Raw genomic sequence first — 24,617 nt, 5'->3', positions numbered from 1 at the left:
AAGCAAAAATGTATTCTTTCATATAATGTCTTCCTTACATCACTTCAACGTTCCTCTATAAGTTATCTCCTTATGGTGATGATGGTGATGCCAGAGGTTCTCATCTGGCTTGACATGTTTTTCTAGTGCATCCTTTTAAATTACTAGGTCCTTAAATTAAATGATCTGGTTCACTGCTGTCATTGTACTAAACTGACCCTAAACCAATCCTTGCTGTTCCTAAATTTAGAAACAGAAAGAACCTTCACAGCATTCCAGCCTTTCTGCCACTGAAGTCTACTGACAGAAAAACCAAATTTCAAGAATTTTTTAAAATACAAAAACTTTTAAGTGGGTAGACATATCACTGTTAACTCAGTAGTGGACTGTTGGCAGTAAAATGTGTACTACAGCTTGCAAATGACCCTAAGTGTGGTGCCTCCAGTATCTTAGTCTCATCTGTAATACAGATAAACATGAACTTTTTCTGCAGTTCTGTATAGTATTGCTTATCTAAATAACCAGTTATTCCCATAAAGTGAGTAGTTGCTGAGGAAGTCAGTATAGTAGAGTGCGTAAGTGCTTCGGTTTGCCGGTCACACTGCCTGGGTGGAGTTCTGCCTTCAGTGCTTACCAACTTTATCACTTGGGCAGTTGACCTCCTGTGCTGCTCTTTACTCGTGTGAAGAATGTAAATAGTAACTCTTATAGGTTGTTGTGAGAATTGAACAAAACATAAAATGTGTTCTAGAGTAGCGTTTGCTGTGTAGGAAGTGTTTTATAAATGGTAGCTATTATTATCATTACTTTGGTGAAGTACAGATTATATATAGAAAGCAGAAAATAGAAGGCTGACATTTTTTGAGTTGGTTAAAATTTGATAGCTAGGAAGACGTAAGGTTGAGGGTGAAATCCCAGCAGGACCTATTGTAACCTTTTTTTTTTTTTTTTTTTTTTTTTGTGATGGAGTCTCACTCTGTTGCCCAGGCTGGAGTGCAGTGGCACGATCTTGGCTCACTGCAACCTCCGCCTCCCGGGTTCAAGCTATTCTCCTGCCTCAGCCTCCTGAGTAGCTGGGACTACAGGCACGTGTCACCATGCCCGGCTAATTTTTTGTATTTTTAGTAGAGACGGGGTTTCACCGTGTTAGCCAGGATGGCCTCAATCTCCTGACCTCCTGATCCGCCTGCCTTGGCACTCCCAAAGTGCTGAGATTACAGACGTGAGCCACCGCGCTCGGCCATAAGCTTTTTACATGGGATCAATTGCCACTGCCACCAGAAAGGCTGTCACAGTGTTGAGTTGGGGTATCTTTCTGTCAAGTTTGAATCCAACCTTCCTCCACTTGTGAATGAAGTTCTTAATCTTCATGCCTCAGTTTCCTCATTTGTAAGTTGGTGCAATAATGATCAAGGGTTGTTATGAGAGCTACATAAATTAATAATACATGGTAAGGTGCCTAAAGAACAGTACCTAGCGCATAGTATTCAGGAAAAGTCACTGTTTATAATTACAGTAGTTTATTCAGCCTAGCACTTGTACTCCACCAGGTATTGTGCTAGGCTTCTTGTTATTTCCTTCTTTTAAAACAATATTATTATTATTTTTTGGCCAGGTGTGGTGGCTCACGCCTGTAATCCCAGCACTTTGGGAGTCCAAGGCGGGTGAATCACCTGAGGTCAGGAGTTTGAGACCAGCTACTAAAAATACAAAAGTCAGCTGGGTGTGGTGGTGCATGCCTGTAATCTCAGCTACTTGGGAGGCTGAGACGGGAGAATCATTTGAACCCAGGAGGTGGAGGTTGCAGTGAGCTGGGATTGTGCCACTGCACTCCAGCCTGGGCAACAAAGAGTGAAACTCTGTCTCAAAAAAAAAAAAAAAAAAAAGTTTTTGAAAAATAGAAATGGGATCTTGCTATATCGACCAGGCTGGTATTGAACTCCTGGCCTCAAGCAGTCCTCTCATATTGGCCTCCCAGAGTGCTGAGATTACAGGCATGAGCCACTGGGCCCAGCCCATTATTTTATTCTTACAGTAGCCTTTCATGGTGTAAGTATCATCAACATTTTACAGGTCAGGAAATGGAGACCCAGAGAGGTAGAGGACCCTACCTTGTTTGAGGTTGTACAGCTTGTGTGGCAAATGTTTAACAGACCCCACCATTTTGTTTTTTGTTTTTTGTTTTTTTTTTGATGGAATCTCGCTCTGTGGCCCAGGTTGGAGTAGGGTGGTGAGATCTGAGTTCACTGCAACCTCCGCCTCCCAGGTTCAAGCGATTCTCCTGCCTCCGCCTCCCAAGTAGTTGGGACTACAGGTGTACCGCACCATGCCACGCCTGGCTAATATTTGTATTTTTAGTACAGACAGGGTTTCATCATGTTGGCCAGGCTAGTTTCGAACTCCCGACCTCAGGTGATCCGCCTGCCTCAGCCTCCCAAAGGGCTGGGATTACAGGGTGAGCCACAGTGCTGGCTCCCACTGGTTTTTACAGATGGGCGCCACTGTGGGTCTGTCACATGCATGCATCTGGTCCCCAGGGAGGGGCAGCAGGTAGAGTACAGCTCATCCTGATGGCTGGGACCTCTGTCACGTCCCCAGAAGTGGGCAGGGCAGGCCCTCAGTGGAGGGGAGAGGACTCACTCTCCTCAGTGGTGTGCCTGACCATCCAGAGGCCTTTCCTGCACAAGGCATCAGCCTTATTGACTGTAGAGGGCAGTGATTAGAGGTGAGAAATTTAGCTTAAGGGATTGCCCAGACATGACATCTCAATTTTCCTCTGTAAAAATACTCTTCCAGACTCGTGGTAATGAAAATATTTTCATTGTAGTCTTAGCAGGTTATTTGTTTGACAAGCAGATTATAAAGCTGAGTAAAAGCAAAACTGACCAGGATGATGATATTTTGAAAACTGACTCAGTGATGTAAACAGTGCTTCTACCTGGTCCCCATGGATGCAGTATTAAACTGGAAATTAAGTCCTTAAAAGTCCTTAACCTTCGTGGGTTAAAGTGTTCTTTATCAGGAACAGTTTTTTTTTCCCCTAAATGTTAAGCTTGTAATGATTCTGTGATGCTGCAGAATTACAGCATTACTTGTAGACTTAGTAGCATATAGCAAAAAATTTATCTTAAATTTACTCCTGTGTTTCTTCGTAGGAGGAATAAACAGTGAATGGGAACCAGTATTTTTCAAAAATTTTTTTGGTTAATGAAGAACTAGGTATTACGATTTCTTTGTCTGATATCTAATACTTTGTTTCAGGCAATAAAGAACAATGCCATATGCCTTACCAGGTAGATTTTTATATAAATGATTGCTTATGAATTGTAAATGATATGAGTTGGGTTTAGAGGTTTAGATTTTAATGAATGATGCTAAATTGATGTTGAAATTGTAGAGGGTTGTTTGTTTTGTTTTTAAAAATTGGGGCTGGACACGGTGGCTCATGTCTGTAATCCCAGCACTTTGGGAGGCTGAGGTGGGTGGATCCATGAGGTCAGGAGTTCGAGACCAGCCTGGCCAACATGGTGAAACCCTATCTCTACTAAAAATACAAAAATTAGCTGGGCGGGGTGGTGGGCACCTGTAATCCCAGCTACTCGGGGCTGAGGAAGGAGAATTGCTTGAGCCCAGGAGGTGGAGGTTGCAGTAAGCTGAGATTGCGCCACTGCGCTCCAGCCTGGGCGACAGAGCAAGACTCCGTCTAAAAAAAAAAAAAAAGTACTAAAGCCACCTTTGTTGCTTTCTTTTTTTGTTGTTGTCGAGACAGGGTCTTGCCCTGCTGCCCAGGCTGGAATGCAGTGGCATGATGATGGCTCACTACAGCCTTGGCCTCCCAGGCTGAAGTGATTGCCCTGCCTTAAGCCTCCCAGGTGCTTATTTTTAAATTTTTTTTGTAGAAATGGGGTCTGTGTTGCCCTAGCTCACTTTTCTTACTAATACACTTGGAGTGACTTAAATTGTGTGTATTCTGCAGCTTCTTAGGTTTGTGTTTAGTTTATTGAATGTGGGAGTGTTCATTTGTTAATGCCTAAGTGAGATTTGATACTGTCTATACAGCAAGGTGTAATAATTACATTTTCTTGTATGCAGTTGTGTGGATATGAACCAGTTAAATTGTTGAGTTCTCTATTGCAGATTAGTCCAACACAAAGCAAGGCTTTTTGGTATCATTGGGAAAAACTAAAGGGAATTTGTCGTGGGCAGTTTTATTAGCAAAGGGAAACTTCTTTACATTTTACTGTAAAATCACACAGTCCTGGTACCCTGTCATATACCTGTCATGTGGGCTAACAGTTTGATGTTGAAGAACTGTTGTCAGTTACTAGATTGTAAAGTGCCTCATCCAGAGAATAGGTATGAAACTTCCCATAATTCAGTTTCCAACCCTGATAGTGAGTGCTTTACTAGGTACAGTAATTCATAAGTTTATTTTGATGAACCTGGGTGCTTGGCAAAATAGGAATAGCATGCATTTCTACTGATGTGTGCCTTTGGTGAGGAAAGTTGAGTTTCTATACTTGAGCATAAGGAGTCTTGGGAATTCTTTCCTTGGCCATTTATAAAGTTACTGTGACTATGTATCTTTTAGTATGAAATGGATAAAGAAATCTACATTCTATTTTTAATAATAGCTTTATTGAGATCTAATTCACATAACAGTTTACCCACTTAAAGAGTACAATTCAATAGTTTTTAGTGTATTTGCAAGAGTTTGGGCAACTATCACCACAATTTTCATTTTTATCATCCCTAAAGAAATCTACTACCAGTCACTCCCCATTCTTCCCATATCTCCCTAACCTGCATTTACTCTCTGTGTTTATGGATTTGCCTGTTGTGAACATTTTGTATAAATGGTATCATTTTACAATATGTGATCTCCTTTGACTGGCTTCTTTGACTTAGCATAACATTTTCGAGGTTTATTCCCGTGGTAGCATGTATCAGTATCATTCCTTTTTATTACCAATTAATATGCCATTGTATGGAAATAGTATATTTTATCCATTTATCAGTTGATTTTAAATAATTTCAAAACCTCCCCACATTTCAAAATTATTGCTGTTATTAATAATGTTTTGATTATTCATGTATAGTTTTTTTATGTGCATATATGTATGTTTCATTTCTCTTGGTTTGGGTATATACCTAGGAATGAAATGGCTTGGGCCATAAGAACTGTTTGTTCGACCTTTTGAGGAACTGTCAAACTGCTGAAAAGTGGCTGCACCATTTTACATTCCTACCATGAAAGGTATGAGTATTCTCATCTCTCTACAACCTTGATGACACTTGTTATTGTCTTGTTTATTTTAGCCGTTCTAGTGGGTGTGAAGTGGTATCACTGTAATTTTGTTTTCCATTTTTCTGATGCTAAATAATGTTAAGCATCTTTTTATATGCTTATTGGCTATTTGTATATCTTCTTTGGAGAGATATCTACTCAGATCCTTCGCCCTTTTTTTTTCTTTTCCTTTTTTTTTTTTTTTGAGATGGAGTTTCACTCTTTTGCAATGGCACAACTTCAGCTCGGATTCAAGTGATTCTCCTGCCTCAGCCTCCCAAGTAGCTGGGATTACAGGCATGCACCACTATGCCCAGCTAATTTTTTTTTATTTTTAGTAGAGACAGGGTTTCACCATGTTGGCCAGGCTGGTCTTGAACTCCTGACATCAGGTAGTCTGCCTGCCTCAGCCTCCCAAAGTGCTGGGATTACAGGCATGAGCCACTGTGCCCGGCTCTTTTTTTTTCTTTTCTTTTTTTGAAATGGAGTCTTGCTCTGTCGCTCAGGCTGTAGTACAATGGCACTATCTCAGCTCACTGCAACCTCCGCCTCCCGGGCTCAAGAGATATTCGTGCCTCAGCCTCCCAAGTAGCTAGGATTACGGGTGCCCACCACCACCCCTGGCTAATTTTTGTGTTTTTAGTGGAGATGGGGTTTTGCCATGTTGTCCAGGCTGGTCTCGAACTCCGGGGCTCAAGTGGTCCCTTTGCCCATTGTTAAATTGTGTTATTTGTCCTTTTAGTACTGAGTTTTAAGAATTCTTCATATATTCTAGGTACTAATCCCTTATATATATGATTTACAAATAATTGCTCCCATTCTGTGGGGTTTTTGTGTTTTGTTTTTGAGACGGAGTCTCGCTGTGTCACCCAGGCTGGAGTGCAGTGGCGTGATACTGGCTCACTGCTACCTCTGCCTCCCAGGTTCAAGCTATTCTCCTGTCTCAGCCTCCTGAGTAGCTGGGACTACAGGCATGTGCCACCACACCTGGCTAATTTTTTGTATTTTTAGTAGAGATGGGGTTTCACTGTGTTAGCCAGGATGGTCTCCATCTCCTGACCTCGTGATCCACCTGCCATGGCCTCCCAAAGTGCTGGGATTACAGTCATGAGCCACCATGCCCTGCTGGGTTTTTTCATTTTTTTTGGAGGTAGTGTCCTATTTTTTTAAAATTTGTGGTAAAATATACATAAAATACACTATCTTAACCGTTTTAAAACGTACTGTTCCGTGACATTAAGTACTTTCATTTTGTTATGCCAACCCATTGTAATCACCATCCATCTTCAGAACTCTTTTCATCTTGCAAAACTGTAACTTTGTGTCTGTTAAACAATAACTTCGCATTTCCTCCTTCTTCAGGCTTTTGACAGCCACCATTCTACTTTCTGTCTCTATGAATTTGACTACTTTAGGTCCTTTATAGGAGTGGAATCCTATTTTGTGACTGGTTTATTTCACTTAGCACAATGTCTTCAAGGTCCATCCATGTTGTAACTTGTGTCCTACTCTATTCTATGTATATATCACATTTTGTTTATCCATTCATCCCTCAATGGACACCTTTTGGGTGTTGTGAATAGTACTGCTGTGAATATGGATGTACAAACGGTGGTGTCCTTTGAAGCAAAAATGTTCTTAATTTTGATGAAGTCCAAAGTATCTATTTTTTTTTCTTTTGTAGCTTGTGCTTTTGGTGTCATGTCTAAGAAACCATTGCCTAATCCAAGATCGGAAAGATTTATCCCTATGTTTTCTTCTAAGAGTTTAATGTATTAGTTCTTACATTTAGGTCTTTGATTCTTTTGAGTTGATTTTGGTATATGCCATGAGGTCACAGTCATAGTTTATGGAATGCGGCCCTAAACTTAAGCTCTAGTTGTTGGTCTGCTTTGGTTATGCTGAAAAGTTGCAGCATAAATACTTTTCGCAGGGATCCCTCCTCCACAATGCTGCCACTCCACCCTGCAGGACTCTAAGTCCAGCCTCTCTTGGCCCTGAATGATTGAGAACTCTGGAACAAAGACCTTGGCAATAATGTTTTTATATCCATTTCATTTTTCCTCATTGGTCATAACGGCTTTATTCTTTCTCACTTATCCACCCCACAACATAATTTATGTTAGGTGGAAAATTGCCCCTAACTTTAGTAAGCCTCTTTGGGGTGGGAAAATCCTCACCTGTATGGAGGCATTGCCCCTTGATTCTTGGTTTCTGAACCACATTCCTGCAGAGTGGTGCCCTGCGGGAATCTTGGTATTATACTTTAAGGCAACTTCCTTCCCATTTAAGAAATTAAAAAGATTTAGACAAAGAAAAATGACAGAGTGGTGTTGAGGAGTGGTGTTGGCAAAGCTTGTAGTCTTCACAGTATGGGAAGGGAAAAATAGTTTTAGGCTCTTTCCCTATTTGCCAGGCCAGTCATTAAGTGACAAGCTTTTCCTGGTTTTTCCTTTTTTTTTTTTGAGAAGTTTTGCTCCCACGCCCAGTCTGGAGTGCAGTGGCGCGATCTCGGCCCACCCCAACCTCCACCTCTTGGGTTCAAGCAATTATCCTGCCTCAGCCTTCCGAGTAGCTGGGATTACAGGCGCGCGCCACTGCACCTGGCTACATTTTTGTATTTTTAGTGGACACGGGGTTTCACCATGTTGGCCAGGCTGGTCTTCAACTCCTGACCTCAGGTAATCTGCCACCTTGGCCTCCCAGCATGCTAGGATTACAGGCGTGAGCTACTGCACCAGGCTGGTTTTTCCATGTTGACAAATGATTTTTGCTTTTCAGTGGGAACAAAAAGAAGAACAAAAGCAAACAGCCCCAGACTGTTTAGAAGGATCCCCTTGGCTTGCCCTGTGTGTAAACGACACCGAGATTTTCTGTATAATCAGAGATTCTCAAGAGTTTCAGTTCCCCTTGCTGTTTAAATTAGCAGGACTTGAATTCCTAGAACAAATATGCCTAGCATTGTGGCAGGACTGGAGTTCCTGGTTTAGCTACTTATATTTTAAACCTCCTTCCCTTATTTTTTGGACATAGAAAGGTAGAAGATATAATACTATCAATTTTTTTGAAGTGGTGGGCATTATTTTGTAAATTAAAAATGTTAGATGTAATGTAGTTAAAGGTTCTTATCACTTGACTGCTGAGCACAAGAAAAGCCCAAACCAGGCTACTTGTTGTAGGTCCTCTGGTTTCAGAATGATTTATGCTCACTTTACTAGCACATATTTAGTTGCCTTGAACCTTCTCAACTGTAGCTTCCTCTTACAGAACACAGTGCCCCACAAGGAGACTTTGAATCTGTGATCTCCTCCCAGGTTTTAGCCGAAGCCCACAACCCACTGAGCATGTGAAGCAAGGGCCATTGGTGGATGGGTCTTATGTCCATATGCAGGTTGAATATTCCTAATCTGAAAATCTAAAATCCTAAATGCTCCAAAATCTGAAACTTCTTGAGTGGCAACATGATGCTCAAAGGAAATGCTCAGTGGAGGGTTTTGGATTTTTGGATTAGGGATGCTTAACTGGTAAGTTTAATGCAAATGTTCCAAAATCTGAAAAAATCCAAAGTCCAAAATGCTTCTGGTTCCAATCATTTTGGATAAGGGATAGTCAGTCTGCACTTGATATACCTCTAGAGGCTGTGAAATCTTAGGCAGTTCAAAAGTCATGTTGTTTGGCTGGGTGCAGTGGCTCACGCCTGTAATCCCAGCACCTTGGGAGGCCGAGGCGGGCAGATCACCTGAGGTTGGGAGTTCGAGACCAGCCTGACCAACATGGAGAAACCCCATCTCTACTAAAAATACAAAATTAGCTGGGCGTGGTGGCGCATGCCTGTAATCCCAGCTACTCGGGAGGCTGAGGCAGGAGAATAGCTTGAACCCGGGAGGCGGAGGTTGCAGTGGGCCGAGATTGCACCACTGCACTCCAGCCTGGGCAACAAGAGTGAAACTCTGTCTGAAAAAAAAAAAAAAAGTCATGTTGTTTTAACTATTCATTGCCATTTGTTGGTTGGGCCTCTTCAACCATTGTGATCCAATCCTAGTTCAATCCCTTGTTGAATTCAAGTATTGAGGTCTTAGGATGAATGAACAAGGCTTTGGGCTGGCACATAAAGGTGGGACACCCACAGGTCCTGCTCTTTGGGAGTTTGGGTAAGTGTATTTTATTCCCGAGATGCACTTGTAAAAATATACATGGTAGGCCATAGGTGGTCTCACAGTTTGTCTGTAGTAGTACAGTTACTGTTTGATTCAGGGGAGTGAGAGGTGAGTCTGTTTCAGAGCAGGTGCCTGGGGGACAACCTGGAGAGGAAGGTTGAGCCTGCAGGGCTTTGGATGTGTGAAGGTAATGATTCCCAGTAGTGTTTTGTATTATTTCAAAGTACTTCTATACCATTGTTACCTCCCACCAGGTCTCATCTGCTTCTGTCAGTAGGTTGGCCATGTCCCCATTTCACAGATGAGGAAACTTGGCTTTGAGAGTGTGGCTTGGTGCAACTGAGATTTGGGTCTAGATCGTATGAGTCGATTCCACTATACATTTTCTAGGAAGTGGTAGTAGCGTGAACAAAAAAGCTGAAGAGGACGGACTCAGGTAGCATGGTGAGTTCTTTGGGACTGGGGAGGGGAAGGGTGAAAAGTGCAGAAAGGGATGAGGGGGTTGTACAGTGACAAGGTTTGTCCAGACAAGTTGCGAGAGTGCCCGGGAAGACTGAAACCCTCACGGGGTGTGTGTGTGTGTGTGTGTGTGTGTGTGTGTGTAAACAGCTCTTTTGAGGAATAGCTGATGTATAATCTGCACATATTTAGAATGTACAGTTTGGTAAGTTTTGACATGGGTATGCTTGTGAAACATCACCACGCTCGAGAACGAACATTATTCATCACCCTGAAAAGTTTACTCCTGCCCCCAAGAAGGGCTTTTTAAAAAAAATTTTTTATTTTGAAATTTTTTCAAGTGGTAAGTTTGAAGAATAAAAAAAAACTTTTATGTACCCGTTACCCAGATTCACCAGTTTTTGACATTTTGATAATTTGCTTGCATCCTTTATGTATGTATATATGTATACATGTGTATATGTCTGTATTTGTAGGTACATAGATTTGTGCACACACACACGGTTCCCCTGCCAACCCAGTCAAGGGTAGCTTTTATGAGTGATGCTGCTGTATTCCTTAATGCTTCAATGTGTATTTCCAGAGAACAAGAATAGTCTATTATGGATCTGTAGTACAGCATTCACATTCAGGAAAGTTACTGTTGTTTGTTTGTTTTTTTTTTTTTTTAGCCGGAGTATCACTCTGTTGCCCAGGCTGGAGTGCAATGGCGCGATCTTGGCTCACTGCAACCTCTGCCTCCCGGGTTCAAGCGATTCTCCTGTCTCAGCTTCCCGAGTAGCTGGGATTACAGACGCCTGCCACCATGCCTGGCTAATTTTGGTGTTTTTAGTAGAGATGGGGTTTCACCATGCTGGCCAGGCTGGTCTCGAACTCCCGACCTCAGATGACCTGCCCACCTTGGCTTCCCAAAGTGCTGGGATTACAGGCATGAGCCACCACGCTTGGCCAGGAAAGTTATTGTTAATACAGTATTTTTTATTTCATGTTCCAGTTTTGTCAGTCTCCTAATAATCTCCTTAGTAGCAAGGACATTTTTCTCCTCATACAGAATCCAGTACAGGGTTATACAGTGCATTTGAGCATTACCTTTCTTGAGTTACCTTTGCTTTGAACATTTCCTCAGCATTTCTCAGTCTTTCATGCCATTGACACCTTGGAAGAAGCCAGACCAACTATTTTTAAAGTGTCCAAGGGTTTTGAGGTTTTAGCAGGTGTGTGAATGTGATCTATCTGGGTTTGGGAAAAATGAACAGTTGTGAGTGAGGTGGATACAGGTGGTGGGGAGGAAGTTGGAGGCAGTGGACTTTGTGCTCTGATTCCCACAGGCTTAGGTTGGTGGAAGCCGTGGTTGGGGGAATTGTTGGTAAAATTGCTTGGATAGGGATGGACCTGGAAAAGAAGCAAAGGTGATTGCAGTGTTCTAATGCTTGTGTTCTGGAAAATTAAATAAAGAGCAGGGAGGTTTAAAGATAAAACTGGGAAAGGGCTGTTGTATGTCCAGGAATTGTTATGCATACATTTCTTCTTTCTGCACACTGTGATAGCCCTGATGGTAACTACTTAGAAAAAGGTTGTGAAATTTTAGGAGTTTGGGACCCAGTGGCCAGACTGAAATTCAGTGCATGTAGGGCAGTTGCCAATAAAGTCACCCTTGGGTACTTGTTCATAGCTTTAGATGGAGGAATGTTTGTTCTCTAGCTTTAAGGAATTGAGACTGGTATCATCGGGGCAGTGTCTGATGGACCTAGTTTAGGGAAGTTCATGGGCCAGTGTCTTTGCAAGTGAAACTAGGCATCTTTCCCCAATGAGAGAGCATATGGAGACGTTCACTTTAAGGACGGGTTTTGAAAGGGGAGGTATTGGTGGAACTTACCAACTTTGTTATGTAGCCTAGTTATCATTTCTGTAGGTGTGTAACAGTTTATCAAGTGCAAGGAGTTACCTCTGAATCTTCTATATAGGAAAGAAAATTTAGGCATGTTTAGTAACATGCAGTAACCTCTGGAATGCAAAAATGCATCTATACTTTCTTTTATGAAGTCTGACTAGAGAACATTTCAGTGTGGGGCATGAGCTGTCTCACCAGCAGGACAGCTTTAGAGGTCATTAGGCTTTCAGTGTTGTAAACTGTTTATCACTTATTTTAAAACATCACAACTGCCTGAGACCAGTGCCTTACTTGGTTGCTTTGTCAGGAGACTTGTGAATATTGAATCCTTTTAAGCTTTTACAATGTTTTGAGAAGTGGAATTAGTTAAAAATATATCCTCTTATCAGAATGTCTGCTGGCTAGGATTTGTTATTCTGTTGTTCTATTTAAATAGAATATGTCATATATTAGATGTTTTCTTAAATAGCCTTAGGTTTTAAATAAAAAGTAAGGCTGGGCATGGTGGTTCACACCTGTAATCCCAGCACTTTGGGAGGCTGAGGTGGGAGGTTGGCTTGATCCAGGAGTTCATGACCAGCCTGGGCAACATAGCAAGACCTTGACTCAAAAAATAAATAAAATAAGATAAAATAAAATGTAGTGAAGACAAAGATGACTTTATCCTGGTCCCTGGTCAGGGACCTGGTTCATAATTTAAAACTCTTTTGTTTGAATTTAAGAATCTATAAAGTAGGATTGATAAACTATACTGCCTTGGATTGCTTTTGAAAATGTGTGTGCCAAGGCCTGCTTTCACATGGTAAGAGGAAAGTCATTACCTATCATATGCCATGTTTTCCTCTGACTTATACCTAAAATATTTTAGAGTGCTTATTGCCTTATGTAAAATTACAAGATCATATAATCACATTCCCACCCTGTGGAAAATTAAACTTTTTTTTTTTTTTTAAAGTGAAAGCAAGTTTATTAAAATAAAGGAATAAAGAATGACTACTCCAAAGGCAGAGCAGCCTAGACTCTCTTTGTAATTGAGTCTAAGCTAATAACGGATTATTGTAAAAAAAACCTCTGTTTTATAGCAGAATTTTCTACCGGGCCACATACGAATTTTCTGCTCTTGCTGTCTTCAGTGTTAACAGTGGGAAATTGTGGACACTTAAACTGAGCAGTACTTAGAATTTGCTGGATATGCTGAAAAGTAATCCATCAGCATTGGAGACCACAAGCAGTATAAAATTGTTGATACCCATATTTATTTTTATTTTCTTTAGGTGGAGAAAGAGACCCTTGAGTTAGAGTTTTTGGATGATGAATTTAGTACTCAATCATTAGTATATTTGTGCATGTCATATTCTAGGTCACAATAAATTATCAACATGCCACATTTGTGGTAGTTAGATAATGCTTTTATTTCCTCTTTTTTCCCCACGTTGAATCCAGATTAACATAATATGTTAATTTGTGTTTTTCTCAACTGAGTGTGGTAATTCCATTGCATTAAAGTGTTAGGGACTTTTGTCTTCACTAATAATCCACTTAATCTCTCACAATAAAAAGTACTTTCATTTCTACTGACTTACATTTATCCAATCAAAACTTTTTATATTACTAGACTTTTTGTTACTTTTACCTAGCATCCAAAACCATGTTTTATGATTGGTTGGCAAAGAGCTGTAGAAAACAGATTTTAATATTGCAATGTATATTGTTAAATTTTCTATCTGATGGATTTCCAGAAATATTCTGTGTTATATACATAAAAAACTATATGCATAATTCCCAGTGAGACAGTTATTTTCATTACTCGAAATACTCTCCTTGAAAATTGTAATTCCATGTTCCATTACATGCTTACCAAAAATGATTCCAGGTTGGGGGAGTGGTTGATTCCATATACTCTCAAAATTTCCAAAAAAATAATTTGAGTGGACTTGATAAACTTTAAAAAGTATTAAATTCCTATGCAGTGTCATCTGTCACCTCCCCCCGCCAAGTTGCCTGGCTAGCTACCATTTAGTTTATGATGAGATGAGTGCTCTGGCCCTGGGGTTCCCACCCCACCCCCTTTAGTCAGAGTGCTGTTCTTATCATGTGGTATGAATCAGAACTGATCACTTACAACACATGTTATAAGTGATTGGATGAGATAGGCAAGCACAATTTTTAGATGTTATAAAGCAAAGCATTGCTGCAATTTCTGGGTAAGTTTTCATGAAACTCCTGTAGTAACATATTTCTCTTTGCTCTTAGGAATGTCCTGAGTGATCTTTTTTTTTTTTTTTTTTTTTTAAGCAGTATTAGTTTTTAAGAGCTTTGATCACATTCCTGGCCTGTTTTCTGTTGGTGGTACTATCAGGCTATGAGATGATAATAGTCCCCAGGTGCATGAAATCTTAGAATTGGGATTAGGCCACATATCTCCTTTTGGCTTCTTCTGCAGAGGGTCGTCTAGGCTTTGTTTATCTCCAGAGATTAGGAGTCTTTTATTTCTTATTTTTATTTATTGAGACAATCTCATGCTGTCACCCAGGCTGAAGAGCAGTGGTTTGATCACAGCTCATTACAGCCTCAAACTCCTGGGCTCAAGCCATCCTCCCACCTCAGCTTCCCAAGTAGCTGGGACTACAGGCGTGCGCCACCGTGCCTGGCTAATTAAAAAAAAAAAAAATTTTTTTTTTTTTTTTTAAGAGATGGTGTCTCACTTTGTTGCCCAGGCTGGTCTCAAACTCCTCCTGCCTCAGCTTCCCAAAGTGTTGGGATTACAGGCGTGAGCCACCATGCCTGGCCTGGGGAACTTCTTGACCATGGTCCCCAGAACTGGACCCCTTTCTCATTATGGGATGCGCTCTGATTTATCAATGTCCTTCTTAAAGTGTGTTAATAAAGAACTCATCTAGTTCTCCAGATATAGTGTGGCCAGTTTTGAGTGTAGTGAGACTTTAATTTCCTGTGATCTGGAAATTGTACATTTGTTAATGCAGCCTAAGACTACCACACCTTTTTGTCACTTACAGTGGTTCATATGACACAGTCAGCAAACATTTCTGTGCCTGCCTCCAAACACATTTCCCCATTAAAAAGAAAAAAAACTGTTGAACTTCCAATTTTATGTTGATTTTCAAACCCAGCATTCTAACTTGTCAGTGTAATTTAATTCTGTTGTTGATTTTATTGCTTATTTTATTTCTTGTTGTTGGCAAGTTTACCGATCTGTCTTCTGGGTTGTCGTGTGATACACACAGACGTAAATGCAGAGGAAAAAAGTTGATTTTCATAATAGTCAGCAACAGTAATAACTAATGCCCCACACGGACCCCCGTGTCACTTTTGGAAAAAAAAAGCCTGTGTTCATAGAGCAGCCTTACCAAGGGATAAATGTTTTATGGCCTGGAGCGAAATGCATCTCAATATAATGGCTGTGTTATTTTTTAGAAGCCAGTTTTGTTTTTCTTTCCCCTTTAACTGTATTCCTTTTTTTTTTTTAAACATTCCCATTGGATAACTTAGAGAAAGGTGAATAAATGCAAATCAGGTGGTTTTGTTTTGATTTAATAGTACCTTTGATAAAAGGAATTGATTCTGCTGAGAATTTGGCTGTATAAGTGTGTTGCCATAGCAGACTTGCAGTCATGAAATGATTGGCATGGGCTTAAACCTTTGAATCACACCCTGGAAGCAGATAATACCTTAAGGAATCTCTTGTCTGGAGTTGTTTCTTACTTACAGAGCAGGACACTCTTCTTCTTCCACGCTTACTTATAGTGATCCTTAGGGAATGAGCAAAATAGGAGTAAACTTGGAAAATAATTTTTAGGGGATTGGAATCTGAGGAATAATGATAAAAAATAGTTTAACTTTGAAAAACCATTTTATGCCAGGCATAGAGCTGTGTGTTTTCTGTGTACTATCTCATCATGACAAGCCTGAAGCAAGTCATTATTGGCCCCATTTTGCACAGGCTCAGGCAATGGTGGAATTATGTCAAGCAGGCAGGAGGCTTGGTGATTTTTGTTTGGATTTTCTTTGGCTTGGGAAAGACAGATTTGCCTTTTGCTAGAAAAGAAACTCCTTCAGTGAGCTATCATTTCAAAGTTGATGTCTCAGAATGTTGTGGAGATGCAGCCAGTTCACCTGAAGGTAGTGGTGGTGGTTAAATAAACATCTCTGTAAGTCTAGCTCTTCCTACAGTTGTGAAATCTGAGATTTTTTGGTTTGTTTGTTTTAATGTTTATTGGTAGAAATAGATCATCAATGCATACTTTGTATTTATATAAACTGCATTCTCTTAAAGGTTTTTGTTTTCATTGGAAATATTTAGCCTCCAAGTGAACTTAAAGTATTATCTATGCAATCGATTCTTTATAGACTTTTTTTAGATTTTAACACTAAATTTGAGAAACCATGCATATTGTATACCTTATTTAATAATCCAAAGAATTGTTTGCACTTTCAAAAAAGTTACAGAAAGGCTGAACACAAGTTAAATAACCTGTATGTCCTAAATTTTCCATTACTGAATAAATACTTGTTCAGTATTATATATTGCTTGCTTTCTAATAAGTCAGATTGTCAGAGATGTTTCAGTAAATTATCTCTATATTAAAATTATATCCGAATCCCTTTTCTCTCTGAGATGATCTTGCCAGTATTAAACATTGTGCCATACGCAGTATTAGCCCAAAAGCTTAAATAAGAACCAAACTTGTACACTGAATATTTTAACCTTAGAATTATATAACTATACATATATGATATGCTGTATATTAAATTTAACATTTCAAATAACATGTATAGCACACATTCAGCCACATACTCTCATGAAAAGGTATTATTCGTAAAAAGTTAATGAAAAGCTTATTTAGATAGAAATGTCTAGACATAAATACTAAGCCTATGAAACTTGAAAGTAAAGTCTGCTGTGCTATTAAGGAAAAGAAGATTGGTTTTTAACCTATTGAATTGTGCAGATACAAAAGTGCTTAGCATGAGAAAATTACCAAAATAAAAACATTTTAGAGGTTATTTGGTTCTAGCAATGTTAATTATTTTGTGTTTCTGGATAATTTAATGTTTGTATTTTAAATGTTATATAAATTTCCTCTTTATAACAAGTTTTAAAAAGCACGCAAAAATAGTTCAAACTATATATAATCTGTTATTTTTCATCCTAGTTAGCTCATCACAAGTAACTCAGCAAAACAATGCTTGAACATTCAGTTCTACTAAAATACAATATTTGAGTAGATCCCATCACTTTTACCCATTGTTTGCTATGTTGGACCCTAAAACAGGCTGCTGACAGATCGGACAAGTGAAATTCTCTGAGAGCCATCGGTCAGTACAATGAATATGAAATTCATGCCTGCAAGGTAATTGCCTGAGCTTGTTTCCAGTTATGTGGTCACTGATACAAACACTACAGATTTTACCTGGTTCACTATCAATACTGTTATGCTCTAGCGCTGGGTGGAAAGATTGTCAGTCTGCTCTTTGGTTAAATCATGTATTCAGGCGGGCGTGGTGGCTCTTGCCTGTAATCCTAGCACTTTGGGAGGCCGAGGCAGGCGGATCACCTGAGGTCAGGAGTTGAAGACCAGCCTGGCCAACATGGTGAAACCCCATGTCTACTAAAATACAAAAATCAGCCAGGCATGATGGCGGGTTCCTGTAATCCCAGCTACTCGGGAGGCTGAGATGGGAGAATAGCTTGAACCCGGGAGACGGTGATTGCAGTGAGCCAAGATCGCACCACTGCACTCCAGCCTGGGTGGCTGAGTGAGACTCCATCTCAAAAAAAAAAAAAAAAAGCAAGGGGAAGAATAGTAGTTTTCCAGTTTGACTAAATCATTTGAATTTTGCAACTACATGCTACCCCTATTGTCACTGTTTCAGGTATGAGGCTGGGTGGTCTCATTTACACCATGCATTTCAGTGCTGTCTCCTTGGGCCTGCCTGTCCCGTTCCCTGTGCTGGCTGCTGTCAGTAACTGTACCTAAGGTTACTCAGTTCTCAATGCATCTCTGGTAAATGCTGACCATTTCTCTGAAGCTCTGACTTGGAGAACCAGAGCTTCTCTCTAGTGGTTGAACCCTCCCTTAGAGTACTAGATTCTCCAGACCCAGTCATAATCTGCCTTAAGATTGACCGAAGAGCCACTGATGATGGCTCAACAAGCTCGTTCTCAGAAATCCTAGGAAGAATTATGGTACTAACATAGGTTTGAATACGTGACCGCTCTAAACGAGAAATGATTCGGCAGAAGCCCCCACTATTGCTTTGAATAGTGACTGTATGTTCTGTTAGCCCTACTCTGGATGAGTTCTGTTTGCAATACTGTCCTGATCTCTATTTTCTCCGGGATGGATCCTTCTCACTTGAAGGTCCAGTGTGATTGTTGGATGTCGTAGTACAGCAGTTGAGGATCTGCTGGATTCTTCTTCTACTGTTATTCTTGACATAAGTCTTGAATTAGAGAATGGGGTATATGCAGTACCTCTGTGTTCTCTATCTTGCTCTAAAAAGACTTGAGTTATACCTCTCCTCCTGACAGATCTTCTAGTGGTTTGCTGTACTGGTCTACTTTCCCTTTGTGAATTATGACAAACAGTGCCACTGTGTCTCTGAATTGGTGAACAGCTTCGGCTACTTATAGTAGATCTTATTGGCCCTAATCTTTGGTTTGTATTTCTCACTGTAACATTATATCTAGCCCCATTTTCCCAAACATGTGCTGCTTTAAACTGTTGTGCCTCCCTTTGCCTGAGTTAGCTGCCACCCGACTGGTTTGTGTGACTACTGAAATTAGTGCGTGAAGCACTAGCTCTGGGAATGCCAGCTGATCCCCCAGTTCCATTTTTTAATCTTCCTACTGTTGAGAAAGATCCTTCAGCTGAATTTTTCCCCCTTGAAGCAAGCCTAGTCCTTAGAATGTTGGAACTACCACCATTGAAATTCACTGAGGTTTGGCTTCTTGTTCGCCTAGCCACAGGACTAGATGACCTTTGTTGCCTATTTGTAATATGATCTCTGTTACTATCTGAAAGTGGAATGTTTGTATAATCTCCATGAATTTCAGATCCTCTATTTTCATGATTTATGTGGATTTCCAAACTAAACCGAAACTCTCCACTGTTCGAGTTTGTTCGACTCACAGCTCTCCAATTTTGATTCCCATTTTGTCCACTTTGAGTTGCATTTCCTGTGCCCCGAAAGGTGTTCAACTATGCTAGAAGAGAATATTCATTTGAACTTTCTCTGGGGACTTCTGAGTCTCTGTAATTTGTTCCATTTCTTTATTTCATTTTATTTTTTTGAGATGGAGTTTCACTCTTGCTGCCTAGGCTGGAGTGCAATGGCATGATCTCGGCTCACTGCAAACTCCGCCTCCCAGATTCAAGCGATTCTCCTGCCTCAGCCTCCTGAGTAGCTGGGATTAGGTATTACAGGCATGTGCCACCACACCCGGCTAATTTTTTATATCTGTTTAGTAGAGATGGGGTTTCACCATGTTGGCCAGGCTGGTCTTGAACTCCAGACCTCGTGATCCACCCACTCAGCCTCCCAAAGTGCTGGGATTACAGGCATGAGTCACGGTGTCCGGCCAGTTTGTTCCATTTCTCGAGTCAGGCTGAGATGCTAGTTGTTTGTTGACCCCATCTAACCACTGTTGCAGTTCTTCTGATGTTATTTCTCTAGGGGAGCCTAAAAGATTATGGTCCTCTCATAAGCCGATAATCTTCATCGAGTTCTCAGGCCTCTTCTCTGTGGAGATGCTCTTGCTGCCATCTTCTCCCATTTTCACAAATGATTACGGTCTTGAGATAAGGTTTCGTCACCACCACCATCTGATCTAGATCTAGACTGATTCATCCTGAGATTCCTGGCTTTCTTATTTTCCTTTCAATATGCTTTTAACATATGCCATGGTATCCATCCTTCAATTGTTTGTGCCTTTTTGGAGAGCTGTCCATCTCTTCCCAACTCAAATCCAGGCCTGTTGGTCTTCAGGGTTCTTAGTTTTAACTACTGTACTGTTCTTGGTTTCATAACTCTGCTGTTCAGTAAAATAACAATTATTGTCCTCTCTGCCCTCATCACTCGGCTTAGCCAAATCATCCACCAGAATACAATCCCGTTCTGTGGAACAGCTCTTGGGAGCTTGGAAGAAGAAAGATGAGTGGGTATTTTAGTATGAATTGGTGGTATTCTACATGTATATTTAAAGTTTTCAGGGCCAGGTGTCATGGCTCATGCCTATAATCCCAGCTCTTGGAGGGGAGTGTAGGGTGAGATGGGTGGATCTCTTGAGTCCAGGAGTTTGAAACCATCCTGGGCAACATGGTGAAACCCCTTCTCTACAAAAATTAGCAGGGTGTGTGGCGTATGCCTGTTGTCCCAGCTACTCTGGATGCTGAGGTGGGAGGATCACTTGAGCCTGGGAGGCGGGGTTGCAGTGAGCTGAGATTGCGCCACTGCACTCCAGCCTGGGTGACAGAGCTGGGACCGTGTCTCACCAAAAAAAAATAAAAAGTTTTCAGGTCTTGCAGTACGCTGGAAGAAATATCTAGAACGGCAGATGATGTGATTTTGGCAAGCGTGTCACATGTTGATTTCTGTTTTGCCGGTGAATGCATCAGGCCTGAGGTATGTGTGGGATCTGGACTTCTCCATTTCTTGTTTCTGATCACCTGAGGCTTGCACTCTGGAGCTTTTCCTTCCTTGTCTTCAGAGAATTTCCAGTGTGATACATCTCATTTGTTGTATTACAAACAATGTACAGAACACTTAATGCTTTCATTGGTTAGGAATCTCTGAAATTAAAAAGGAAATATCATGTTAGTTTTTGCCTTCTTATTTATTGTTCAACATTGTTACTTACATCTTTTTTCCTATTTTCAGGTCATTTTTTTTCCCCCCAACATGTTTGGTATTCCTTCTGTCCACCTGTTCCTTCACCCAAATATAGTTAGGAGAGGAGTGCTGACCTATTAAGGCGTGTGTACTGTGGCTCTGTGTCTCTATTAGATGAGACTGAGTTCCTTTTCTGGCTCCTAGATGCTGGGGACGTATTACCTGGTCACAAGAATGTGGGTTCTGATATGATTTCCCACCCTTCTCTCTTTTAGTAGTAAACATTCTTAGTAACCTTTCACCTTTCTTTTTTTTTTTTTTGAGACGGAGTTTTGCTCTTGTTGCCCAGGCTGGAGTGCAGTGGCGTGACCACAACCTCCGCCTCCTGGGTTCAAGTGATTCTCCTGCCTCAGCCTCCCAGGTAGCTGGGATTACAGGCATGTGCCACCACGTCCGGCTAATTTTGTATTTTTAGTAGAGGCGAGTCTTCTCCATGTTGGTCAGGCTGGTCTCGAACTCCTGACCTCAGGTGATCTGTCCGCCTTGGCCTCCCAAAGTGCTGGGATTACAGGCGTGAGCCACTGTGCCTGGCCTTTCACCTTTGTTATTGGTCAAGGATAGATTGTTCCCTAAACTGTCATTTCTCTTCTGTTATCCCATTAGAAATTCATGCAGAAATTAATACTTTGGTATCGTATTTAAACATATCTGTTCAGTTATTTCTATTTCGAGTGACTTGGATCCAGTAGGGCGGGTGTGGGCAGGTTTTGTATGTATTCACATGTTAGCATAAAGATTCTAAAGCATGAGGGCTTTCCATTGAAAAAGGAGCCCCGAGAAGCTCACTGGAAGTGAGTTGCAATAGAACGTTGTTTCCTGGTTCCTTGCTCCTTTCTCCATCTGTCCCTTTTGCTCTGGCTCCGGATCTAGACTGCCATGTAGTGTCAGTTTTTCTTTTCATTCCTTGGTCTACTTCAGGTCTTAATTTTATTCTGCCTTCTTCCCTCCACACCCCTTGCATGCAGCCTCACAGATCAACTCTGTCCTAAGCAGAGAAACACAACTTCGTCTCCCTCTTGTATTTCAGTCTTATTCTGCCCTATAGTAGCTTCCGATACCTCCAGCAATAAATAAAATCCCTCATGATGGCCTTTTCAGGCCACTCCCGCTGCTGCTACCTGTGAGTTTACCAATGGGCTTCTCATTCTTCTCCACATGCGTTTGGCCCTCCATGGTCCCTCTTCTTCTGAAATCCTTTTTCCTGTCTTGTTCATTAGATGAGCATCGTCTCATCCTTCAGACTCATTTCCTTTACAGAACTTTTCAGAGTACCTGTTTTAGTTCTTGTCTTTCAAATTTTTTCTCTGTCCTTCATACATCTTTAAACATTAGTCCCTTTGCAGCGCTCTCTGACTTAATTTTTTGTTGTGTGCCAGGGTGTGCAGTGTTCTTTTTTTGCGTTTTAATTTTTTTTTTCATTTAAAAAGAAATCCTCCTTACTATCATTCCCAGATATTCTTGTCTCAGCTAAAGATACTTGTTTTTCATTTTGAGTAAATATTCCAAGTAACTAAAGCTCTTTCAGATTTAGGAAGAAGGCGTTTTTCCTTTCCCTTCCTATCCCACATCCGGTTTATCAGCAGTGCTGTCATCTTTATCTTCAAAATATATCCAGGTTCCTTTACTTCTTACCCCTTCCACTTCCGTGTCTGGTTCAAGCCCCTGTAGTTTCTCTGCAGGTTGGTTGCTCTGTCTCCTAACTGCTTTTCTTACTTCTGTCCTTTCTTCTCTTGCAGCCTGTACTCAGCAAGGCCAGACGGATCCTCTGCTCCAAACTTGCCCTGGCTGCCTACCTCCCTCAGCATGAAAGCTGAGGTTCTCGCAGCAGACTGCAAGGCTCTTTATTACAGCCGAGCCCTCCTGACGTCATTTTCCTCTCTTTCATGTCTCTCTGGTCACTTGGCCTCCTTTCACGCCATGCATCCTTCTGCCTCGGGGCTTTGGCACCATCCCTTGCCTCTCTTTGGAACACTCTTCCCCAGATGTCTGTCTGGCTACTTCCTTCACCTCACCTCGCTCACTCAGATGTCACCTTTTCAAAGCAGTCTTCCTTGACCTCATTGTTGATAATCACAGCCTCCTCACATGCCCGGTATATGCCATGCACCATCCCTTCTGCTGTATGTATGTATGTATGTATGTATGTATGTATGTATGTATGTATGTATTTGAGATGGAGTCTCACTCTGTCACCCAGAGTGCAGTGGTGCGATCTTGGCTCACTGCAACCTCCACCTCCTGGGTTCAAGCAGTTCTGCCTCAGCTTCCCAAGTAGCTGGGATTATAGGCGCGCACCCCCATGCCCGGTTAAATTGTATTTTTAGTAGAGATGGGGTTTCACCATGTTGGCCAGTCTGGTCTCCAACTCCTGACCTCAGGTGATCCGCCTGCCTCGGCCTCCCAGAGTGCTAGGGTTACAGGCGTGAGCCACTGCGTCTGGCCCCCTCTGCTTTATTTCTCATAGCACTTGTTGCCACCTACCCCCAGTGTGTATTCTTGTCCATCTCCCCCACCATAGAGCAGAGGCTCCACAAGGACAAGCATCCTCTGTTTTGTTCATTATCTTGAACCCACACGGTGGTAGGTGCTCAGCGGTTGTTTGCTGCATGAATGTGCATTTTATCTACCTCTGCATTCACTGTGTGCTTTTCTGCCTTACTGGAGTGATGGGAGTGATCATTGGGAACTTCGGGTTTTTTGCATACCCACCTATGCCATGTCTTCTGGAGCTTGGCAAAGACTTCCTCTTACTGTGTACATTGATTTGCCTCCTAGCTACTTCAGCATGGTTTTCAAGATAGGAAGGGATGAGCCTTTCAGGAGAAACTTTATAACAAAGTGTGTTAAGTAACTGGCCTTATTTTATACACAGTTTAAATCCAGCGGGCCCTGGATGAGGATTTGAGAGGATCTCTGTGCTCTGTAGTTCTGTGGATTAGCACTTGGCTTTCATTGTTTTCTTTTAGCCCTGACTTTCTGGTTCACATTTGTTTAAATAGTCTAAGTGTTTCAGAGGCCGAGGGGTTGGAAGGCTGGCCACCAGATAAGGGGAGCATCACTATCCTTGTGCTTTCTTCTCTGCAGGGCCAAGAGATCTTCCACTGTGCACTGTGAGAAAGTTGCTGGCGTTGTTCTCAGTAACAAAATCTTCTACGTGAAGATTTGCTGTCCCCTCAGTTCCTTAGTTTTCCTCTTTACAAAATGAAACGTCATTGACCATGTTTTCAGGCTGCTTGCAACTCCAGTGACCTTGAGTCCTGTAGGTCCCTCTTGCTAAGTAGAATGTTCAGATGAATTAAATATGGTGCCATTGTGTTGCAGAATCACACTTTGAAAAGAGGTCCTATTCCCTGCAGTGCTCTTGACTTTCTGAAGAGGACTGAGCTCATGGTCAGCATGTTTCCTGGTGGTTAAACATATCTAGCTTTAAAATTTCCAGCTGCTAGAGGAGACGAAGACGATGAGAAGCAAGCACACAGCAAACTGTTTGGCTTTTAGATGCATCCTGGCCTGGCCGGGTGGACTTGCACAGAACTGCTGGTGCCAGGTTAGTTCCCTGGGACTTTTCCAACATTTGTCTCTGTATTGAGTTTTGTCCTTATTCCTGAAATAGAGTAGCCACTGAAATCAGGAACCAGAACTTCTGGAAAATACCTTTGGAAACCACTGTGTTGCATGGTAGAAGAAAGGCAACTGCCAGTAGTTAAAATACCGGGTTGAGTGCTAGTTTTTTCACCCTTTATTTTTTCTTTTTAAGGAGAGGTCTGATTTACTTTCTTCTGTCTGTTAAAGCTCTTCACAGGTTCTTAGAAAAACAAGCCATTTAATGGTACCAGCCGTGAGGATCCAACTTCAGTTCCATGAAAGCTGCCTGGTAGTTCTGGTCACAGGGTCCTGATGGGAGACCGTGTAACTGCTGCTAGGCAGTCAG

The 24,617-nt window shown here is 41.4% G+C and overlaps 1 protein-coding gene and 1 pseudogene across 3 annotated transcripts in view, besides 1 other annotated feature; one reads left to right on the top strand and one right to left on the bottom strand.

Moving 5' to 3' along the window:
* Window positions 1-24,617, top strand: part of FOXO1 (forkhead box O1) — a 110,975-nt gene that overhangs the window by 28,259 nt on the left and 58,099 nt on the right. The window contains exon 1 of one of the 3 annotated variants that reach the window (XM_011535008.3): window positions 14,067-24,233. The exons of the other annotated variants lie outside the window; for them this stretch is intronic. Coding sequence (XP_011533310.1) covers window positions 24,147-24,233 — 87 coding nt within the window. The 5' untranslated portion in view covers window positions 14,067-24,146. Of the gene's footprint in view, window positions 1-14,066; window positions 24,234-24,617 lie in introns of those variants that run through there. 3 annotated transcript variants of the gene reach the window in all.
* Window positions 8,200-8,299: an enhancer, noted in NCBI's record as "active region_7612". NCBI's record gives its function as "activates an Ori minimal core promoter by ATAC-STARR-seq in GM12878 lymphoblastoid cells {active_cell/tissue: GM12878}" and the evidence as "EXISTENCE:reporter gene assay evidence [ECO:0000049][PMID:35858748]".
* RLIMP1 (ring finger protein, LIM domain interacting pseudogene 1) lies at window positions 16,836-19,757 on the bottom strand (annotated as a pseudogene).

The sequence above is a fragment of the Homo sapiens genome, chromosome 13, assembly GCF_000001405.40.
Source record: "Homo sapiens chromosome 13, GRCh38.p14 Primary Assembly".
In the NCBI taxonomy this organism is placed as follows: Eukaryota; Metazoa; Chordata; class Mammalia; order Primates; family Hominidae; genus Homo; species Homo sapiens.
This window is presented reverse-complemented; position numbering and strand designations above follow the sequence as displayed.